Source organism: Homo sapiens, chromosome 18, assembly GCF_000001405.40.
Source record: "Homo sapiens chromosome 18, GRCh38.p14 Primary Assembly".
NCBI classification, from domain to species: Eukaryota; Metazoa; Chordata; class Mammalia; order Primates; family Hominidae; genus Homo; species Homo sapiens.
Genome location: NC_000018.10, coordinates 9,379,995 through 9,404,221, shown reverse-complemented (window position 1 = coordinate 9,404,221; position 24,227 = coordinate 9,379,995). Strand labels below are relative to the sequence as shown.

At 39.4% G+C, this 24,227-nt stretch overlaps 1 protein-coding gene across 2 annotated transcripts in view; it reads right to left on the bottom strand.

The window, feature by feature from the left end:
• Window positions 1-1,801: 1,801 nt before the first annotated feature.
• The window catches only part of TWSG1 (twisted gastrulation BMP signaling modulator 1), a 67,648-nt gene continuing 45,222 nt past the window's right edge, over window positions 1,802-24,227 (bottom strand). For both annotated transcript variants that reach the window (NM_020648.6, XM_047437675.1), the window contains 2 exons: window positions 7,676-7,942; window positions 1,802-4,876 (listed from right to left, as the gene is read on the bottom strand). In NM_020648.6, the coding sequence (NP_065699.1) occupies window positions 4,695-4,876; window positions 7,676-7,942 (449 nt within the window). In that variant the 3' untranslated portion in view covers window positions 1,802-4,694. The remainder of the gene's footprint in view (window positions 4,877-7,675; window positions 7,943-24,227) is intronic.

Sequence of the window (24,227 nt, the reverse complement as noted above, 5' to 3'; positions counted from 1 at the left end):
GCACGTGCCACCACACCTGGCTAATTTTTGTATTTTTTAGTAGAGACGGGGTTTCACCACGTTGGCCAGGCTGGTCTCGAACTCCTAACCTCAGGTGATCTGCCCGCCTCCGCCTCCCAAAGTGTTGGGATTACAGGCGTGAGCCACTGCGCCTGGCCCACATTTACTTTTTACTGGTTAGTTAAAGCTCAAAGGTCAAAGAGCTGTAATGGCTAACACCCACCAGCTAATGGCGCTAATGGCATGTCTGCCTGGCTTACTGAGCTCAGTGCCTGCCAGGTCTGGAGCAGCCCCATGGGGCCGGATGCGCCATGTTGTCTGCAATGTCTCCTGGAGCCTTGGGCTTGGATGCCTCCCCTTCCAGCTCAGCTTCACTCTCTCTGACTGTCCACATGACTAGCTGCTGTGTGGACACCTTCAGCAAAAGCACAGCTTTCCTGGTCAAACGTTGTATCTGTCCTTGAAACTCATCCTACCTTCCGAATGCCCCAGCTCCTTTCTTAAGTCACTCAGGCTGTCCTCTTGAGTTCTTCCCCTCTCTAGATCCCCCAGGCACGAGGCTGCCAAAACATGGACTCTGAAATAAGGTGGATTTTGCCATGGCAGCACAGTTTGTGGCTCTCAATTCTAACAGTATCCTGTGGGAGAGCTGAGAAAGGTTTTTCCCTACCTTGATCCTTCTGCAACTCCTTGCAACCTTTAGATCATTCTTATAAAGTTGGTTGGCATCTGAAGGCCCACAGAGCAAGCAGAATAGTAAAGTATTCATTTAAAAGGTTCCCCCATATTGGAATAAAGCATATGAAAAAGCAGACAGCAAAATGTTCTAAGATCTGTTCTGAGAGAATCTGTAGAGACATCCTGAGAAAAGAACATTCTTTGCTGATTGTTTTTTTTGTTTGTTTGTTTTTTAAGACAGGGTCTTGCTCTGTCACCCAGGCAGAGGTGCAGTGGCACAATCAGGGCTCACTGCAGCTTCCGCCTCCCTGGGCTCAAGTGATCCTCCCACCTCAGCCTCTAGAGTAGGTGGGACTACAGGCACATAATTACTGTGTCTGGAGTTGGCTCCTGCTGGTGGGTTCGTGGTCTTGCTGACTTCAAGAATGGAGCCGCAGACCTTCTCAGTGAGTGTTACAACTCTTAAAGATGGCACGGACCCAAAGAGAGAGCAATAGCAGGGTTTATGGTGAAGAGCAAAAGGACAAAGCTTCCACAGGGTGGAAGGGGACCCGAGCTGGTTGCCGCTGTTGGCTGGGGTGGCTAGCTTTTATTCCCTTATTGGCCCCTCCCCACCATGTTCTGTTTCTGTCCTATCAGAGTGCCCTTTTTTCAATCCTCTCTGCGATTGGCTACTTTTAGGATCCTGCTGATTGGTGTGTTTTACAGAGCACTGATTGGTGCATTTTACAACCCTCTTGCTAGCTACAGAGCGCTGATTGGTGTGTTTTACAGAGCACTGATTGGTGCATTTTACAATGCTCTTGCTAGCTTCAGAGCACTGATTGGTGCATTTTACAATCCTCTTGTAAGACAGAAAAGTTCTCCAAGTCCCCACTCGAAACAAGAAGTCCAGGTGGCTTCACCTCTCATCAACATGCCCGGATAATTTTTTTATTTTTGTAAAGACGAGGTTTCACCATGTTGCCCAGGCTGGTCTTGAACTCCTGAGATCAAGTGATTTGCCCACCTCAGCCTCCCAAAGTGACACCGCACCCGGCCCGCTGATCACTTAAACACTATCTTCTTTAGACAGAATGTCAAATTTATGTCTATGCTGAAGTTAACAAAAAATATGACTCACTCATTTCAATTTTTTATTAAAATACTTTTTTGTTAATAGGGACAACCAAAGAAAAATACACAATTTTATATGTTGTAGATCATATAAAATACAATAAACATAAACTCTTGGGAATGCAGAATAGATTTCAAAATCTTAAAAGAAGCTTTCATAAAAATAAACTTTAGAAATGTGGCTTATATTTACTGCATTTTTTCAGAAAACTTTCTTTTCTCCATTTTAATGCTACCCTGATTATAAATAATGGTCCAAATTTCTAACATCTTATCAATTTTGCTTTCTGGAATTTTAGAAATCACATGTCTAAATGAAGACCTCTTTTTTATACCACCCTACATAAACACAGAATAGATTTTATTTAAATTACCATTTGATTTGGCACCACTATTGTAAATACAATTTTAGTAATAATTAAATGTTATGGGGGAAAAACTAACAGAAAAACCTGCTAACAAGCACAAGTCTTACTATAAGAAAGGATCTTTTATATATGGCTTTTATGATACCCACTGATTTAAAACCTAGTGCTTTAAAAATCTGGTTATAAAAAAAGTAATAACCTAATTTTTTATTAAAAAAGAAAAAAGAATTTTTACCAAAACTTCAATATAGAAGTGAATGTGCTTAGAATGGTAATAGAGGATCTAACTTTTAACCAGGCTATCAACTTCTGGAATATTTACTTTCAATTTGGAAAAATATTGTTATTCAGAACCTGAAATACATTATAAAACTGGAAATGGAATCTTTTAGGTGAATTCTTTCTTTCAAACCCTCATAAATCAGAAAAAATAAGCCAAATTTGAAGGCAAAAGATCTTTACATTTAGGGATAGTTTCTAATGAAAGAAATCAAGATAAGAAAAATCAATTAAAACAATGTGGTTTAAGAAATTATCCTCCTAATGTAGGGGGTGGGAAACAGATATTACATTTTAAAATTTAATGAAGACCTAAAAAATGATAAATGCAGTTTTAAAATATTTGTTGTCATCATTAAGAAAACATTAGGCATGTTGCCAACACACACACAAACATCACTCCACTCACAGTAGGAAATGACTGAAAAACAGCAGAGTTGAACTGCAGCAGGAGACTGCAGATTCCTTTCAGCTTTCTGTCTAAAGTTCCAGAATACTTTCAGCTCTACAGATGCTCATGAAGAAGGGGAGCTAAATGTTTTCAAGGCACTTTTAAATGAGGCATTCTAGGTAAAAGGAAGAAAAGGAGACCCTAATGTTTCCCTACCAAAAAATATATCCATGAGCTAAATCTCAACTTTTTAAAAGGCTAAAATATCTTGAATATTCATTAGAGTTATTTGAAAGAGCAGAAAAGGTATTAAGACCTTAATTTATAACAGTTGATCATAATATTACAAATGATCTTTTAACTAACTACTATTCAGATCATGAATAATACAAAATGTGTCCAAGAGCATTATCTATTTTTATATACTAAAATATGTAGACGTATAAAGAGGTATTCCTAAAAAGTTGCTTGTAGTTCAAATATGCACTAGAGCAATTAGTAATTTTGTAAAATTGAGTCTGTAATATAAATATTTATGTTTTAGATTCATGCTTTAAGATTGAGATTTTATTACTATGAAGGGCACATAGTATCTTTATTGAAAGAAACATTTATTGAAACATTATATAAAATGTTGACTAAATTCTGTAGTGTATTTGGAGTGAACATCATCTTGAATAGAGATTCTAAAATTTCATAATCTTAACCTCCGACGATATGATTATACTTGTTTAAAAAGAACATTATATCCAGATATAAACTTAACAAATGAAATATTACAAAATATGAACATAGATAGTTTTGTTTCCCATAATAATTCCCAGCATTTTCACCCTGTCCTGTTCATACGAGTCAATTCTCTTCTTCAATTCCTGTCCCATCAGCCGTCTGCTGAAAAACACTGCTTTGTCTTGGCTAAGGCTGCACAAGTTCAGTCTCGCACTGGCTCAGCCTCCCCTTTCAGCAACACCATTTCCCTACCAGGGTACAAGCTGTTTCCTGGTGCTCTAGGTGGAGTCTGATTTGGCATTCGTTCCCCATCCCTAGTGCTCTTTAAGCTGGTACCTGAAGTCACAGAAACGCTTTGCTTGCTAATTATTTACACCAGCAGTGCATTTAAAGCAATTTCATAGGTACACCCTGAAAATCTTGGTAAAGATTCTTCATCACTGCCTATGTCAGCACTTTGGGCAGGGGAAATGGAAGAGAATAGGAAACTTTCTCTAAAGCTTTGTCAACACATGTATTATAGAATGGATTCTACTATGTAAGAGTTCTCAATTATAAAATATGGTAAGCATTTACCTTTTAAAACCAACATAAAAGGGATGAAATTAAGCTTTTTATGATGATATTTTTATATGAGTTATCAGAGTGGTATATCAAATATCTACTCTATTTATAAAATGGATAAAACAAGGCACAATGAGGAATGATGTGCAACTATAAAAACTCAGTGTGCTAACAGTAGCACATGAAGAAATCATAATTCACATCAACATGCTTCTGCTAACACTTTCAAAGCAAAAACCTTTTGGAATGCTAGAGGAAAACCACGTCAGACTTCATGTTAAAAACCTCAGATCTTTCAAGGAATTCTCTGCGCACCTGCTTCTCATATGACCAAAGTTGTACATGTATTCAAAGGAAAGGGCTTATTGCTAGGGGGCAATAAAATCAGTAAGAACAGTTATATAATTAAACACATCACTGGCTATGTCATATTTTTAAAAGAAACTTATTCCAAAGTCTTTACAACTTAACTTACTGGGATTCTGATACAAGATACAACCAACAGACTTACAGAATAACTTTTTATACCTATTATTTTACTAAGTTGCTTTGGTTTGCATTTGTCTTCTTTAAAACATGCAGTTCATACATTTGACAGTTTTACTACCATAGTCAATACATTCTGGACCAATGCACTCGCAGCAGGCATTATGAAACCAGCGATATTTGGATGCTCCCATGGACTCACAGGATATTTTACACTGATGTATGGACATGCAGTCATCAAAATAAACCACAGTACACATGTGTTCTGAAAAACAAAAATTTAAGATTTCAGGGCAAGAAAGAAGAAAAACAAAAAAATAAAATGCTTTATTACCTAGTTGAATATTAACAGTTATTTATCTTGGTTCTCTTATTACTGGTCTGTACATGACAAAGATGAGGTACAGGAAAAAAGATCTTCATTTATTAATTATGTTGAGAAGGAAGTCAGATTCTCCCACTCCATCTGAAGAAGGCAAAGGGCTTCCTTAGCTTCTTTTATTAGATTTCAGGCTTTGATCGAAAAGTTGGATTATTGGGCTTAAAAACATTTGCTATGTTATACAGCTGTGCTTTTAAACTGGGCATTTCCTTTTTTTTTTTGAGATGGAGTCTCACTCTGCCACCCAGGCTGGAGTGCAGTGGTGTGATCTTGGCTCACTGCAGCCTCCGCCTCCCAGGTTCAAGTGATTCTCTGCCTCAGTCTCCCGAGTAGCTGGGATTACAAGCATGCACCACCACAGCTGGCTAATTTTTATATTTTTAGTAGAGGAATCAGAGAATCCACAGAACTAAGTAGAAAATGATAGATCCATAAGTTAAAAACAGACAACAAACAGAACTGCAAATGCAGGCCAGGCATGGTAGCTCAAGCCTGTAATCCCAACACTTTGGGAGGCCGAGGCAGGTGGATCACCTGAGGCCAGGAGTTTGCAACCAGCCTGGCTAACATGGCGAAACCCTGTCTCTACTAAAAATTAAAAAAATTAACCGGGCATGGTGGTGGGTACCTGTAACCCCAGCTACTCGGGAGGCTGAGGCAGGAGAATCACTTGAACCTGGGAGGCAGAGGTTGCAGTGAGCCGAGATTGCGCCATTGCACTCCAGCCTGGGCAACAAGAGTGAAACTCCATTTCAAAAAACAAACAAACAAACAAACAAACAAAAACCTGCAAATGCAGGAGGAGCAGTAGAAAGAGACTGACTCTATCTGGGGGAATAGGTGCCCAGGAAAGATGTCACAGAGAAAAAACTTTAGTTGTGTCTTGAAGACAGCTGGAGTTTCCAGGAATTAGCTTCTTGCTAATTGCTTCATAAATTTAAATAATCTTTGAGCAAAATTTATGAATTATTATTTAATATCTGTTATGTTGATTACTTACATTTTAATAATGGAGAAAATGATAACAAAACATATTATTATTGCATTCCATATGTTTCTAATGTTTTCCAAAATCTAGCATTTGTTTTACAAAGTACTTTAACCTAAAAGGGAATAAGAAATCTTACACTGTCATTTAACAGAAGCTGTTTTGCCTTTTACTATTAATGTTCGAAGCTCACACTGTTTTTTGTTTTCTTGGTTTTTTTTTTTTTTTTTTTTTTTGAGATGGAGTTTTGCTCTAGTTGCCCAGGCTGGAGTGCAATGGCGCGATCTCGGCTCACCGCAACCTCCACCTCCCAGGCTCAAGCAGTTCTCCTGCTTCAGCCTCCCAAGTAGCTGGGATTACAGGCATGTGCTACCACGCCCAGCTAATTTTGTATTTCTAGTAGAGACGAGGTCTCTCATGTTGGTCAGGCTGGTCTCAAACTCCCGACCTCAGGTGATGTGCCCGCCTCAGCCTCTCAAAGTGCTGGGATTACAGGCGTGAGCCACCGCACCCAGCCCGCACTGTTTTATATAGGTAGGAATGTAATGGAGGGCACAACTAATAGTCAAGTAAGAGTACAAATTATACTATTTATACATAATTCACCTCATGTTTTAAGAAATAATTGCAATTTTCATAAGTGCTTTATGCTTCCACAGTAAAATTATATGGTGCCTTTTGTCAAAAAATATCAAAGATTTTATAAAAGTCACATGCTCTTTACATTCCAAAATTATGATATGACCTATCTTCACTAATAAATGCTCTTAAATATGCTTCTGTAATTTGTATAAGTTATTTTCTCACTTAATTCCTTTTCTGACCAACAGCACCCATTTGCAGAGAACTGGCTGGGGTTAGTTTATGCCTGGAAATGAGATGTCTGGAATACCAACTTGCTTATAAAGAAATTTAGCTAATGACTTTGGCATCATTTTGGTACGGGTGCTATTATAAAAATCTGACTTCATGGGATACTCTGAATGTCACCTGACAATGAGCAATATTTTATTAGAGAAGCAGCATTGTTGCTATCTTATGAACAGAATAAAGCCTAGCACAAATAAATACCAGAATTAGGAACAATTATCTATTTTCCAATACAGTACAGCCTCTGCTGCCAGGAGTATGGAGGAATTCTGACAATATGCTGACATGCCTCTTTATCTTTTTTTTTTTTGGTGAGACGGAGTCTTGCTCTGCCACCCAGGCTGGAGTGCAGTGGTGTGATCTCGGTTCACAGCAACCTCCGACTCTCAGGTTCAAGCAATTCTCCTGCCTCAGCCTCCCTCGTAGCTGGACTACAGGCGCCCGCCACCACACCCGGCTAATTTTTGTATTCTTAGTAGAGATGGGGTTTCACCATGTTGGTCAGGCTGGTCTCGAACTCTTGACCTCGTGATCCACCTGCCTCGGCCTCCCAAAGTGCTGGGATTACAGGCATGAGCCACCACGCCCAGCCGACATGCCTTTTTATCTACTCAAGGATTGGAGATATTTTTTTTCTCTTATCCTTCTGGCATGTGCCTCTAGATATGATGGGATCAGGGTTATTGAGTCTAGAATTTATGTGAGATGATACAAATTCAAAACCAAAAGGCTGCTCCAAAAGATGGTCTTATATAGGTTTTATAGATTACATGGACAGACCACATGAGGGGGCGGAATGGAAAAAGTCAACTGTTGGCAGTTACCTTTGTCACTGGAATAAGGCGCGTGAACATTATTGCTGGGGACAGACACATTCTGGTGGTGTGGCTGGTTCACAGTTTCTAAAAATGAAACCAGATTCTCATGATGTGAAAGTTCTTCTGCAACAGGGAAAGAAACGATGTTCCAATTCAACTGAGTATCTCCTTCTGTGAGTGCCCGGAAGAGAGAAGGGATCGGTTCATGCAGCTCCTCCACTGTGCTCTTTGAAGTTGGAGGTGTGTCACTATAATTTCGAGGATTACACATACCTGGGTTGGGGGTAATATCATAAGATTTTGTTAGTTACTGCCTTGCAATCAGAGCTATAACACATTAAAATTATGTAACTTCTAGGATTACACATGGATATTTTCCTACCTTTTTTTTTTTTTTTTTTTTTTGCTGGGTGAGCCTAAATGATGATATTCTTCTACCCCAGTAGCTTCAAGCATACTGAACGCTCAGATCTTGTTTTTTAAATACATAATAGGAACCAGAGCTCCTTGGAGGAAAGACTGATTTGAAGGCTGGGTCAGGAAAGTACAAAGTGAGCCAGGAACACATTTGTGCCAGAAAGTAAGGAAGTGCACCATGAATGATGGGACATGCTGAAGAGACACAGGAGGACAACTGAAGGGGCTCCTACTGGCTAATAGACAATTTGAGCATTAAAATAATAATAAGCTGAGCGCAGTGGCTCACGCCTATAATCCCAGCACTTTGGGAGGCCAAGGTGGGAGGATCACTTCAGCCCAGGAGTTTGATACCAGCTTAGGCAACATAGCAAAACATCATCTCTACAAAAAATAAAAAATATTAGCTGGGTGTGGTGGTGCATGCCTGTAGCCCCAGCTACTTGGGAGGCTGAGGCGGGAGGATTTCTTGAGCCCAGGAGATAAGGCAGCAGTAAGCTATCACTGTACCATTGGACTCTAGCCTGGGCAACCCCATGTCAATCAATCAATCAATCAATAAACATGGATTACCATCTTGTAAACAAAACAAGAATCAATAAGTTCTTATATATAAATAAATACAAGAGAAGGGAATGATATTCCTTACCAACTGATAAATGTAGAAGAAAGGAAACAGAAAATCACCATTTGGCACTATCACAGGGGTTTGATTCGGATGGGAATGGTCAATGGATATTAAGTCTGATGAGTGACTGTTAGATAAGAATATACTGATGTATTCTTGGAAAGTTCTCCACAAAATACTAATCACTTACAAAAGGTCATTAATAATGACTTTAATGTGGAGAAGTCTGGCGGGCACCAATATGATCAGAAGATCAAAGTTAACATCACCAGTGATGGGAGGTGGTGATGTTGCCAAGAATGTGTGACATAAGTCTGGTCACAAGTAAACATCAGGCACATCAAGGCTGAGGGAAATCCTGTATAATCAAGGTCTGTACTCTTTAACACTGTCAAGAGAAAGACTAAAGGACTGCTTCAGATTGAATGAGTCTGAAGAAACATAACTACTAAACGCATCACATGTTCGTGGATAGGACACTGGGCCAGAAAGAAAGAAGAGGTACCACTGGGACAGCTGGTGACACTGAATGGGGTTTGTGGATTGGGTAGCAATGTTATATTGATATTGGCTTCCTGATTTGGAGGGCTGTATGCCAATTTTTAGGAGAATATCTTTGTTGTTTGAAAATATAGACTGGAGTGTTTAGTGGTAATGGGACATTGTTTGTAAAGCTTGCTTTGCAAAGATTCAAAAAAACATGAATGATCATGTGTGTGCGTGCGTGTGTGTGCATGCATGCATGTGTGTGTGTCTGTAGGGAGAGGAAGGGTATTGAGCAATGAAGCAAATGCAATGATAAAATGTTTTTGTAAATTGACATAATAATTATACTTATGAGTTACAGTGATGATTCAATACAATCATGAATAATGATCAGATCTGGGTAATTAACACATCCATCATCTCAAACATTTTTGTGTTGGAACATTCAATATCCTTCTTCTAGCTATTTGAAATGTATAATACATTATTGTTAACTATAGTCATCCTATAGAACTAGAGAACACTAGAGAACTCATTCCTCCTATCTAGCTGTAATCTTATATCCTTTAACAAATATCTCTCTATCCTCCTGTTCCCTCTACCCTCCTATCCTTCTCAGCCTCTACCATCCTCCGTTCTACTTTTTACTTGCATGGAATGAACTTTTTTCTAACTTCCACATATGAGTGAGAACGAGAGCATGTGGTGTTTAACTTTCTGTTCCTGGCTTATTTCACTTAACATAATGTCCTCCAGTTCCATCTATGTTGGCATAAATGACAGAATTTCATGCTTTTTTGTGGATGAATAGCATTCCATTGAGTATAAATACCACATTTTCTTTATGCATTCATCTGTTGTTGGACATCTAGGTTGACTCCACATTTTGGCAATTGTGAATACTGCTGCAATAAACACAGAGGTGCAGATGTCTCTTCGATATACTGATTTCCTTTCCTTAGCATAAATGTATAGTAATGGGATTGCTGGATATGGTAGTTCTATTTGTGGTTTTTTGAGGATGCTCCATACTGTTTTCCATAGTGGCTGTATTAATAACTGGGGAATCTGGGTGAGGGAAAATATAAATCTTTTTATCCTTCTGGCAAATTTCTCTATATTTGAGATTATTTCAAAATGAATTATTAAAAAATAATTTTAGGTCAGACATCATAGCTCATGCCTTTAATCCCAGCACTTTGAGACGCAGAGGTGAGAGGACTGCTTCAGGCTAGGAGTTCAAGACCAGCCAGGACAATATAGTGAGACTCTGTCTTTATCAAAACAAACAAAAAAATTAGCTGAGCATGATGATGCGTGCTTGTAGTCCCAGCTACTCAGGAGGCTGAAGTGGGAGGATCACTTGAGCCCTGGAATTCAAGGTTGCAGTGAACTATGACTGTGCCACTGCACTCCAGCCTGGGTGACAGAGTAAGACCCAGTCTCTAAAAAAAATAAACAGATGGAAATAAAAATAATTTTAAAAGGAGAAAAATGGCAGGAGAGAATCAGAGACAGAGTATAGAAAACTTTTTCAGTGAGTTTTGCTATAAAGGGGCAAGGTGACACAGTGTTTAATCAGCCCCAGCCTTCAAGCTGTCCCAGCTGACACCAAGTGGATCAGAGAGGAGGTATCCCCACAAAACTCAGCCCCAAAGGCAGACTTGGGAGCTAAGGAAATGATTCTTGTTCTTTTAAGCCACTATGTTTTGTTGTAGCTTGTTTAGTAGCAATAGTTACTGGAACAGAACCCTCTGTGTTTCTTTTTGTGAGCATTATATAAGCATACCTTATTTTATTGCGCTGTATTTTACTGGACTTCATAGATGCTGTGTGTTTTATAAATTGAAGGTTTGTGGCAACCCTGCTCTGAGCTAGTCTATCAGTGCCATTTTCCCAATAGCATGGGCTCACTTTGTGGCTCTGTGTCACATTTTGGTAATTCTTGCAATATTTCAAACATTTCATTATTATTATAACAGTTATGGCGATCTGTGATTACTAATCTTTGATGTTACTATTGTAATTGTCTTGCAGCAGCAGGAAGTGCCTCCATATGCAAGCTCAACTGATAACTGTTGTGGTTGTATTCTGACTGCTCCACCAACTGGTCATTCTCCTGTATCTCTCCCTCTCTTTTGGCCTCCTTTTCCCTGAGACACAGCAATATTGAAATAAGACCAATTAGTAACCGTACTATGGTCTCCAAGTGTTCACGTCTCTCACTTTAAATTAAAAAAGTTAGAAATGTCTGTCTGCTCTCTTTCACAGTAAACAAACAAATAACCCAGTATTTTTTAAGCCAAAAAAAAGAAAAAGAAGAAGAAAGCTTAGTGAAGATGGCATGTTGAAAGCTAAAACAGGCCAAAAGCTAGGCCACTTGTGCCAAACAGCCTAGTTGGGAATGCAAGGGAAAAGTTCTTGAAGGAAATGAAAAGTGTTACTCTGAACACATGGATGCTAAGAAAGTGAAACAGCCTTATTGCTGATATGGAGAAAGTTTGAGTGGTCTGGATAGATCAAACCAGCCAAAATATTCCCTTAAAGTTCAATCCAGAGCAAGGCCCTCTCTTCAATTATGTGAAGGCTGAGAGAGGTAAGGAAGCTACAGAAGAAAAGTCTGAAGCTGGCAGAGATTGGTTCATGAGGTTTAAGGAAAGAAGCCATCTCTATAACATAAAAGTGCAACGAGAAGCAGCAAGTGCTGATGTATAAACTGCAGCAGGTTATTCAGAAGATCCAGCTAAGTCATTGGTGAAGGTGGCTACACCAAACAACAGATTTTCAATGTAGATGAAACAACCTTCTATTGTAAGATGATGCTATCTAGGACTTTCCTAGCTAGAAAGAAGTCAATGCCTGGTTTCAAAAGCTTCAAAGAACAGGCTACGTTGTTGGGGTCTAATGCAGCTAGTAACTTTGGGTTGAAGCCAATGCTAATTTACTATTCCAAAAACCCTAGGGCATCCATAAGATTTATGCTAAACCTACCCTGCCTGTACCCTAGAAATGGAACAACAAAGCCTGGATGACAGCACATTTGTTTATAGCATGGTTTACTAAATATTTTAAGTCTACTGTTGAGACCTACTTTTCAGAAAAAATGATTCCTTTCAAATATTACTGCTCACTGACAATGTACCTGGTTACTCAAGAGCTCTGATGAAGACGTACAAGGGGATTAATGTTGCTTTCATTCCTGCTAACACAGCAGCTGTTCTGAAACCCAAGGTTGAGAGAGTCATTTCAACTTGCAAGTCTTATTATCTCAGAAATATATCTATCAGTGCCATTTTCCCAATAGCATGTGCTCACTTTGTGTCTCTGTGTCACATTTTGGTAATTCTTGCAATATTTCAAACATTTCATTATTATTATAACTGTTATGGTGATCTGTGATTACTAATCTTTGATGTTACTATTGTAATTGTCTTGCGGCAGCAGGAAGTGCCTCCATATGCAAGCTCAATTGATAACTGTTGTGGTTGTATTCTGACAAGAAATATATCTTGTAAGGTTATAGCTGCCATAGATATGATTCCTCTGACGGATCTGGGCAAACTAAATTGAAAGCCTTCTGGAAAGGATTCACTATTCTAGATGCCATTAGGAGCATTCATGATTCATGGGAGGATGTTAAACTATCAACATTATCAGGAGTTTAGAAGAGACGTTGAGTACAACATTCATGGATGACTTTGAGGGGTTCAAGACTTCAGTGGAGAAAATTACTGAAAATGTAGTGGAAATAGCAAAACAACTAGAATTAGAAGCGGAGCCTGAGGATGTGACTGAATTATTGCAATCTCATTATAAAACTTGAACAAATGAGGAGTTGCTTCTTATGGATGAACAAAGGAAGTGTTTCTTGAGATGGAATCTACTCCTACTGAAAATGCTATAAACATTGTTGAAATGACCACAAAGGATTTAGAATGTTACGTAAACCTAGTTGTTAAAGCAGTGCAGGGTTTCAGGATTGACTCCAATTTTTTATTTTTATTTATTGAGAGAGAGTCTTACTCTATCACCCAAGCTGGAGTGTAGTGGCACAATCATAACTCACTGCAGCATTGAACTCTTGGATTCAAGTGGATCCTCCCACCTGAGCCTCCCAAGTAGCTAGGTCTAGAGGTGTGCACCACCACGCCCAGCTAATTTTTTCCATTTTTTGTAGAGATGGGGTCTCACTATGATGTCCAGGCTTGTCTCAAACTCCTGGCCTGAAGCTATCCTTCTGTCTCAGATTTCCAAAGCTCTGGGTTTATAGACATGAACCACTGCACCTGGCCTAATTTTGAAAGAAGTTCTACTGTGGGTAAAATAGTATCAAATAGCATGACATGTAACAGAGAGCTATTTCATGAAAGAAAGAGTCAACTGATGCAGCAAACTTCAGTGTTACCATATTTTAAGAAACTGCCAGCCAGTGTGATGGCTCATGCCTGTAATCTCAGCACTTTGGGGGACTAAGGCTGGAGGGTTGCTTGAGGCCAGGAAATTGAGACCAGTCTAGGCAACATAGTGAGACTCCATCTCTATTTAAAAAAAGAAGAAAGAAGGCTGGGCGCAGTGGCTCACGCCTGTAATCCCAGCACTTTGGGAGGCCGAGGGGGGCGGATCATGAGATCAGGAGATCGAGACCATCCTGGCTAACGTGGTGAAACCCCGTCTCTACTAAAAATACAAAAAATTAGCCGGGCATGATGGTGGGCATCTGTAGTCCCAGCTACTCGGGAGGCTGAGGCAGGAGAATGGCGTGAACCTGGAGGGGCGGAGGTTGCAGTGAACCGAGATCGCGCCACTGCACTCTAGCCTGGGCGACAGAGCGAGACTCCATCTCAAAAAAAAAGAAGAAGAAGAAAGAAACTGTCACAGATACTCCAGCCTTCAGCAACCACCAGCCTGATCAATTAGCAGCCATCAAGATCTAGGCAAGAGCCTCCACCAGCAAAAAGATTACAACTGCCTGAAGGCTTAGATGATTTTTTGCATTTTTTAACAATAAAGTATTTTGTATTTAAGGTACGTATTTTTTAAGACATAATAAAATTGCACACTTAATAAACTACACTATAGTGTAAAATAACTTTTATATGCACTGGGAAACCAAAGTATTTGCGTGACTCACTTTATTGGGACCTTCGCTTTACTGCAGTGATCTGGAACCAAATCAGCAATATTTCCGTGGGGTATGGCTATACTTTTGAAAGCTAAATTATGTTTCATTTTTGTTTCGCATCTATTAGGTGTAAGATGGAGTTTCACTTCTTCCTCAGATTAAAAGTTTAAAAAGTTAAACCAAATTTATAAATTCCTGTTTTTATAAATTCAGGGAGGAGAAAAAAACCATCTATTTCCTCATTTTGTTAGTTTAAGGATCATGGCAAGAGCTGAGGAGAACAAAGTTGTGTGTGCTCTTCATCACATTTTTCAATACAGCTGAACTTGAATAACTTAGGTTGTATGACAGGATCATGGATTAAATGATCAAATCTGATCCCTTTATTCATAAAAAGAAGAAATAGGTGCAGATAAGTCAAATGACTTGTCCAATATTATGTCATCTAGGATCAGAGCCAAGATCATGATGTAGCCTCCTGATTTCATGTCTACTACTCTTTCTAATAACTATATCTATACGTAATCTTTAAGTGGTATCAAAAAGCAAATAATACTTAGAATGCTCATATTATACAACTATACATAATATAGTCTTCTGCCAAATTTATAAATAAAAATTAGTGGCCGGGTGCAGTGGTTCACACCTGTAATCTCAGCACTTTGGGAGGCTGAGGCGGGCACATCACCTGAGGTCAGGAGTTCGAGACCAGCCTGACCAACATGGAGAAACCCTGTCTCTACTAAAAATACAAAATTAGCCTGGCATGGTGGTGCATACCTGTAATCCCAGCTACTCGGGAGGCTGAGGCAGGAGAATCGCTTGAACCCGGGAGGTGGAGGTTGCGGTGAGCCAAGATTGCACCACTGCACTCCAGCCTGGGCAACAAGAGCGAAATTCCATCTCAAAAACAAACAAACAAACAAACAAAAAGCCAAAAAACAAACACACAAAAAAATTAGTAAATAGAGTTGAAGGTAAACAACTGAGTTCAAACGTTATAAAAGCTAAATTTAACATCTACTGAAGACTTTAAAGAAATTTCAGCCAGGCATGGTGACACACATCTGTAGTCCCAGTCACTTGGGAGGCTGAGGCAGGAAGACTGACAGAGCCCAAAAGTTCCAGGCCAGCCTGGGTAACTCGTGAGACCCTGTCTCTAAAAAACAAACAAATAAATAAATGAAAGCTCATTATCAGATATTTCATTATATCAAAACAATTTGGGGGCAGTTTTGTGCATTTAACAAATTTAGGACAAAAACATTCATAAATTAAATCTCAATATACTGCACTAAAACTAGTAAACCTGATGTCCCTGATTTGCTGTTAAAGATACTAAGGTCTTTTCCACTTTCCCTAGCCAACTTCTCCAAATTCTATATGACAAACTTGATAACCATATTCTGTAGCAAATTCACAATGCAGCCTTGTCTCATACATTGATTCTAAAAGTTGAAAACCAGTAAAAGTAGTTACCTTAACATAATCCTATGAAAATTGTTTATGACAGAACAGTCAGTATGGTAGGACTTCCTTGTTCAATGTCATATTGTCAAAGGACAATACTTCTGATTTTGAGATAAAGTGAACTTTTCTTTGAACTTCATAAAACAGTGAAAACCATGCTACATTTCACATGGCATGACCTGAGAGATGTTCTTGCCAACAAATATTAAACCTAAATCTAATCATTTTCTTATAGTTAACTTCAAATAACTAGAAATACAGAGGGGCAGAGGAACAAGTTAAAGGATACCACAGGAAGCAGTCAAATCCGGAATGTGGGCTATTCTATAGGTCAACTGATACAGTTCCTTCATTGTCAAGTGGCATGACAGAAATGAAAGGAGGGTCAATCTGGATGAAAAACACAACAAGCAGATTCAATACAAGAATTTTGAATTAATTTGAACAAGTGAACTATAAAAACACTGAGACATCTGGAGAAACCTGATCATGAACTGAATTTTAGATTTCACCAAGAAATTATTGTTAATTTTGTTAGGTGTTACAACAGCATTATGATTAGAAAAGTCAATGTCCACCTTTTTTTACAGATTGACACTGAAAGAAAGTAGGGGTAAAACGTATTTGCTGTCTGCAATTTGCTTTTTTTTTTTTTTTTTGAGACAGAGTTTCACTCTTGTTGCCCAGACTAGAGTACAATGGCACGATCTCGGCTCACTGCAGCCTCTGCCTCCTGGGTTCAAGTGATTCTCCTGCTTCAGCCTCCCAAGTAGCTGGGACTACAGGCACCTGCCACCACATCCAGCTAATTTTTTTTTTGTATTTTTAGTAGAGATGAAGTTTTGCCATTTTAACTAGGCTGGTCTCAAACTCCTGGCCTCAGGTGATCTGCCCACCTCGGACTCCCAAAGTGCTGGGATTACGCATGAGCCATCGCGCCCGGCCTGCAATTTGCTTTTAAATACTTTAGCAAAGAAATAAAAAAGGATAAAGTGAATGTGGCATATTCTGGACCACTGCTGAACCTGCGTGAGGGATATACAGTTCATTATGCTATTCTCTCCACTTCTGTGTATATTTCAATATTTTTATAATAAAAAATTAACGCCAAATTTAATTCCTTTATGGAGAATTATTTTCTTGTTCAGTTTTGTTTTTTCTTGGCATTTCTATGCTTGGAATTTTCTTTCTCTGTAGCACACAAAAATGTTTCAGCATATCTTGAAAACTTATTCTGCTTCTCAATGATATGCTTGAACCCAGTTTCTTTCTTCTCTTCACTTACTGCTTCAGTCAGAATGCTTCATCCCATGCCTCCTGTGTGCTTATCATTCTGCAGCTATCCTTAACTGAACTCCTGGTTAAAGCTATTGCTTCCTTCAACCCATGTTGTTATCTTTCTTGGTTTTCTATCCTGTTTTGTTTGATTGATCCTCTACTAATTCTTTTAGAAACGGTAGGTGAGAAGTAAACTTTGAGTTCTTATTTGTCTAAAAATGTTTCTATTTTACATTCACATTCCTGATAATTTGACAGGTCAAAATAGTTTTCCCACCAACCACTTAAGTCATTGGCCCAGTGATACTGATGAGAAGTCTGATGGCAGTGTGATTTTTAACTTCTTGTATACAAACTCTATTATTCTTTCTGAAATATTTTAGAATATTTTTTAACCTAGAAGTTGTAAAATTTTGTGAAGATGTGCCACATGTAGGTCTTTTTTCACTCATCTCACTCAGCATTCTGAAGGCTCTTTCAACCTAAGGACTCACTGTTTTTTTTCTCAGCTTTGGTAATTTTTCTTCTACTATTCGATAATTTCTTCCCTCCTTCCTTTTTTCTTTTTTTTTTAATTCTTCTGGAGTGCCTATTCTTTCCCTGTTATATTATCTGCCTGTTTTCACTATATTCTATGACACTCCAATAATATTTTCAGACTCTCTTATTATTTTTCCAATTGCTTTTTTTTTTTTTTTGAGATGGAGTCTCGCTCTGTCACCCGGGCTGGAGTGCAGTGGTGTGATCTTGGCTCACTGCAAGCTCCGCCTCCTGGGTTCAAGCAATTCTCCTGCCTCCTGAATAGCTGGGATTACAGATGCCCACTACCACGCCCGGCTAATTTTTGTATTTTTAGTACAGACGCGGTTTCACCATGTTAGCCAGGCTGGTCTTGAACTCCTGACCTCAGGTGATCTGCCCACCTCGATCTCCCAAAACGTTGGGATTACAGGTGTGAGCCACCACACTCGGCTTCTTTTTTTTTTTTGAGACAGATTCTCGCTGTGTTGCTCAGGCATCAGTGGCACGATCTCGGCTCACTGCAACCTCCGCCTCCCGGGATCAAGCGATTCTCCTGTCTTAGTCTCCTGAGTATCTGGGACTACAGGCATGCGCCACCACGCCTAGCTAATTTTTGTATTTTTAGTAGAGTTGGGGTTTCGCCATATTGGCCAGGCTGGTCTCGAACTCCTGACCTCAGGTGATCCATCCGCCTTGGCCTCCCAAAGTGCTGGGATTACAGGTGTGAGCCACCATGCCCGGCCCCATTTGAATTTTAAATTTGCAAAAGCTTTCTTATTCTGATTGTTTTTCATAATACAGACATGATACTTTGTTAACTTTTTCTAAAAGATAACAATCAGTTTTTAAAAGATTTCTTTTATGTCCTAAATATTTCCTCCTTGGTCTGCTTTTTACTTCGTTCTTTCTTTTTTTTTTTTTTTTTTTTTTTTTTGAGACGGAGTCTCGCTCTGTCGCCCAGGTCGGACTGCGGACTGCAGTGGCGCAATCTCGGCTCACTGCAAGCTCCGCTTCCCGGGTTCACGCCATTCTCCTGCCTCAGCCTCCCGAGTAGCTGGGACTACAGGCGCCCGCCACCGCGCCCGGCTAATTTTTTGTATTTTTTAGTAGAGACGGGGTTTCACCTTGTTAGCCAGGATGGTCTCGATCTCCTGACCTCATGATCCACCCGCCTCGGCCTCCCAAAGTGCTGGGATTACAGGCGTGAGCCACCGCGCCCGGCCCGTTCTTTCTTTTAAGCTACACTTATTCTATTTTTCTTTCGCATCTAGTCATTAGGCTGGAGACACCTTCCCTCCCTACAATGCCTGAATGAGGAGGCCTTGCCTGGGTACCAATAACACATCAGTGGCCCTACTTCTTTTCAGCTAGTTCCCTTCAATTTCTCTAGAAAGAAATTCTCCAATTTCTTTTTCCTAGAGAAACTTCTTAATTACTTGGAACTTTTTCTGACGAATGGAGGAGGGAATTGGTTATCAAATCATACAGCTGTTCTACAGACAGATCTTCAAATAATCTCGCTATTTTCAAATTCATTTCTCACACCCACACTCCATAAAGCTGCAACTGGAGCCTCTTTGGGGTTTAGCCGGAAAGGTCACTCATACTCTCACCATAACCCCCTTTTATGCAATTTGTTTTGGTGTTCCTTCCAATCTGTTTACTAAAGAGCAAGCACATCTGGGCCGGGTGTGGTGGCTCATGCCTGTAAATCCCAGCACTTTGGGAGGCTGAGGCAGGTGGATCACCTGAGATCAGGAGTTCAAGACCAGCCTGGCCAACAGGGTGAAATCCCATCTCTACTAAAAATACAAAAATTAGCCAGGCATGGTGGCATGTGCCTGTAGTCCCAGCTACTCGGGAGGCTGAGGCAAGAGAATAGCTTAAACCCAGGAGACGGAGGTTGCAGTGAGCCAAGGTTGAGCCACTGCACTCCAGCCCGGGCGACAGAGCAAGACTTTGTCTCCAAAAAAAAAAAAAAAGGGAAAGCACATAAGCACATTTGTCTTTCCTTTTAGATATCTGATGCAGACTCAAATTACAATTGTTCCTTTTATTTATCTTTGTTTTTAGAGTTATTTCCAATCTTATCCCTTTATTTCATTTTACTGGCATCCTAAGTGGAAGGGAAGAAAATATGTGAATTTAGACCATCATATTGAACCAGAAGTCACATTAACTTGAAGGAGTTGGAAAATGTGATCAACCATTACCTGCATATCAATCTACTCATCCATTGATCCATTTCTTCCAGATATTTGTATCCAACTTCCTACAGAACATCGCCACTTGGGAACCTTATAGGCCCCTCAAATTCAACTGTCTCAGTCATCTTCCCTAACATACCTGGGTCTTAGATAAGCTTATCTTGGTTCCCTGTCACAATTTATCCAGTCACATAAACAGAAGCCTAAAGGTTATTCCTGGCTCCCATCACCCCTCAGTTCCCATTTCCAAACTGTCACCAAATCTAGTCGAGTTTAACCTGTAATTATTTTTCTAATGAGGCCACCTCTCTTCATCTCCTCTGCTATCATCCTAGACCAAGCCCCCATTACATTTTGACTGAATTTGGAAACATAATTGTTTAAGGGATTTTAAACTGTCTTCTATTCTCTTTAGAAAACTCCAGCTCCTTTAAAACACACATTATTTAATGTTACCATTCCTTTTCCCTCCTTTTGGCTATTATCTTTGTATACTCAGCCATTTCTCCCCTACTTACTAGTAACTTCAATACCTGGATCACTATCTCATTTCCACCACTGGACCCACTGTCATTCTTGACAATTTCAATATTCACATCAAAGATTCACTCAACACTCTGGCCAAAATTTCAATTCCTTAATGATACTGATTTGTAAATCCACCCTACTTTACCTACCTCATAGGTCAACTTTAATTCCTCCCTTTTCTCAGATCTTATATCCAATTCAAACCAAACTCTGACAGTTTCCCTCCAAAATATTTTCAGAATCTGAGTGCCACCATTTCCACTGCTATCAGTAATCCTAATCAAATCCACCATAATCTTTTACTTGAACTACTGCAACAGTCTCCTAATTTGTTTCTTCTCTTTACATCCTTAAATCTACCTCCATATAAAAGTCAGAATGATCATTTAAAAGTGTAATTCAAGGCCGGGTGCAGTGGCTCATGCCTGTAATCCCAGCACTTTGGGAGGCCGAGGTGGGTGGATCACAAGGTCAGGAGTTCGAGACCAGCCTGGCCAACATGGTGAAAACCTGTCTCTACTAAAAATACAAAAATTAGCTGGGTGTGGTGGTGCACACCTGTAATTTCAGCCACTCAGGAGGCTGAGGCAGGAGAATCGTTTGAACCTGGGAGGCGGAGTCTGCAGTGGCCAAGATCACACCTCTGCACCTCAGCCTGGGTGACAGAGCAAGACTCCATCTCAAAAAAAAAAAAAAAAAACAAAAAAAAAACGTGTAATTCGGATATCACCACCATACACTCTCCAATGAGTTTCCATTATACTTAGGATATAATCCAAACTCCTTTCCATGGTCTCCAACACCTGGTCCTGACCTACCTCTCTCACTCATCATTCTCTACCCTTCTCCTTATTTACAAACATCTAGCCATACTGGTCTTTCTGTTCTTCAAACTTGTATATTTAGTCATTGCATGTAAGACATATTTTGATATTAAGTGGTTCACCTCAACCTTTTTGTTATTGGTTATCTAAAGTTGCTGAGAGTTTGTTGGGGAGAGCCTCTTGTTATTTCTTTTTCTTTTCCCAGCCTCTCTTAATTTATTCTTTTTCCAACAGACTTCTTTTTGTTTTTGTTTTTTTTTTTTTGAGACGGAGTCTTACTCTGTCACCCAGGCTGGAGTGCGGTCACATGATCTCAGCTCACTGCAATCTCTGCCTCCTGGGTTCAAGCAATTCTCCTGCCTTAGACTCCTGAGTAACTGGGATTACAGGCACCCACCACCACGCCCAGCTAATTTTTTTATTTTTAGTAGAGACAGGTTTTCACCATGTTGGCCAGGCGAACTCCTGACCTCAGGTGATCTGCCCGCCTCAGCCTCCCAAAGTGCTGGGATTATAGGTGTGAGCCACCGCACCCAGCCTTTTTTTTTGAGACAGAGTCTCACTCTGTCACCTAGGCTGGAGTGCAGTGGCCCGATATCGGTTCACTGCAACCTCCGCTTCCTGGGATCAAGTGATTCTCCTGTCTCAGCCTCTCGAGTAGCTGGGACTACAGGCATGCGCCACCACACCTAGCTAATTTTTGTATTTTTAATAGAGACAGGGTTTCACCATGTTGGCCAAGCTGGTCTTGAACTCCTGGCTTCAAGTATCTGCCTGCCTTGGCCTCCCAAAGTGCTAGGATTACAGGCGTGAGCCACCACTCCCAGCCACCATGCCCAGCCTCCTCGCCCAGCCTCCTCTTGTTTTTTCTAAATATGGTTAACTTTCCCAAAAGTTAGAACTTTCCAGTGATGAGGACAAGAAGAAACCAAAGCTGAGATGTATGGTTCATGTAAGTGCTTTCTGTAAATGGAAAAAAAAAAAAAAGACTAAAAATATTATTGAAAGATACCTTTTGATGTAAATAAGTATAGTTATTCTAAAGGTATCTTAGAGTTTTTAAAAGATAAAGATATCTTAGAGTTATTCTAAAGGTATCATAGAGTTTTAAGTACAACTATGTACTTAAAACGTGCGGATAAGCACAGTGAAGCTTTTGGTGGTGCTAGCAATGTTCTGGTTTTCCGTATGGATGCTAGTAACAGGGGTGTGTAAAGCTCAGGTAAATTTATTTTGCTGTACACTTTTGGGGTATACTTTCTAGATGTATATTTCAAAAATAGGTTGAAAAATATATACCTCTTTACTAGTTGTATGATAAACAACTTGAGGGAGAGCGACTAGGGGTATAAAGAAGGGAGGCATTTCATTATAAGCACCTTTTTGGCATTGCTTGAATTTACTATGTTCAAGGATATGTTCAAGTAGTAATTTTAGTTTTTAAATTATATTTTGAAGAGAAATACATATATGTTAATAGCAGTAGATGCTAGATGGCTTTCTTTTCTATATTTTTGCAAAACTTAACATAATACTTGAACCTTAAGTAATCTACCTAGATATGCAAAATTATTACTTCATGAGTTTTAAAATGCTGAATATATTAATACAATACTCCAGATACATAATTATTGGACAAGGCTATTAAAAATGCTTTTTTCCAATTACATAGCTGTGTGAGGCTGTATTTTCTTTATATACTTCAACCACTACAACACAGCACAAAAGACTGAATTTTTCAGAGTATAGAGGGGTCCTGAGATTCAAAAAAAATGTTTGAGAACAGTTGCATTAGAAGAACAGATGGCAGGAGACTAGCCATAGTAGCTATATCGCTACGGCAAAATGTGCTGGCAGTTACCCAGAAAAGCTGATGGGATTCACAGCATCTGATCAAATAGACCTCATTGTGAGAGGGGTTTGAGAGTAGACACAAGTTTTCATTGCTGGCACTTAGTTTCCTCAGCATGAATACGGAGTAAATTAGAATCTCCAGAGGGTGTGTTTAGTTTTTTAAAAGAACCAAATCAACATTATAATTGTCTTTTTCTGAAAGCAAAACAACTCCTATTATTTTGAAACTACAGATTACAAAAGAAAGAAACAATTTGGCTGATGATGTTAGAAGACACAGTGAAGCCAAAAGGACACTGCTGAGAAAAATAATGACTGAAACTGAAAAATGAGGGCATGGCATTGTCTAGGGCAGCTTTCCTTAATCTTTTAAAACCTGGGCTCTGTTTTGATAAACATAAAAATCTCACTACCATCTGTCCTCTCTCAAATTGTCATATTTATACGATGCCTCTAAATGAAGACTCAATGTGTAAAGCCAAGTGTAGTTCAGCTGAGGCAATTTCATAAAGAGCCACAAAAATGCAGTCTAAGTATGCAGTTCTCAGGCAATCTGGCTGAATCCAAAGAGAAAATCTAAGTTCATAGACTACAGCTTTGTCCTCAGTCCCAGTTATCTTTTTGGAGATCATGAAAAATCAGTAGTTGTAAACAATTACTTATTAAAGCCAACATCATTACTAGCTCAAGAGTAACAGTTATCATGGCTACAGATGAAAGCTACTGTGTATATGATGTGATTTTAGAATGATAACCACCTTCACCTTCATCTTCACAAGAAGCTGAATAATGTATAACATCTAGAAGCCATGTAACATAATGGATCACGGAGCATGGACCCTTGAAGCAAGACTGCGTGGCTGGAACCCTGGCTTTCCTCCATACTAGTTATTTGACCTTAGGAGGTCACTGAGTTCTGGCCACAGTTTCCTCATGTGTGGAACAGATGAGGGAAAATAACACTCTCACACTCTTTAGGTTTGTTGTTAGGACTGAATGAAGTAATACATGGAGAGTGCTTGCCACATACAAGATGCTATAAAAGCATTAGCTATTATTAAGTTTCACAAAATATTCCATGACTGACTAGATCAAATCCAATTTAGACACTGCTACCCTGACATTTTAAAGAATTAAAAACTGTTTTCCTAGACAAAATTCTCTAATGAGCCACACAGTATATAGGGAATGCCTGATGTTAAGAAATCAGGATCTTTTTTTC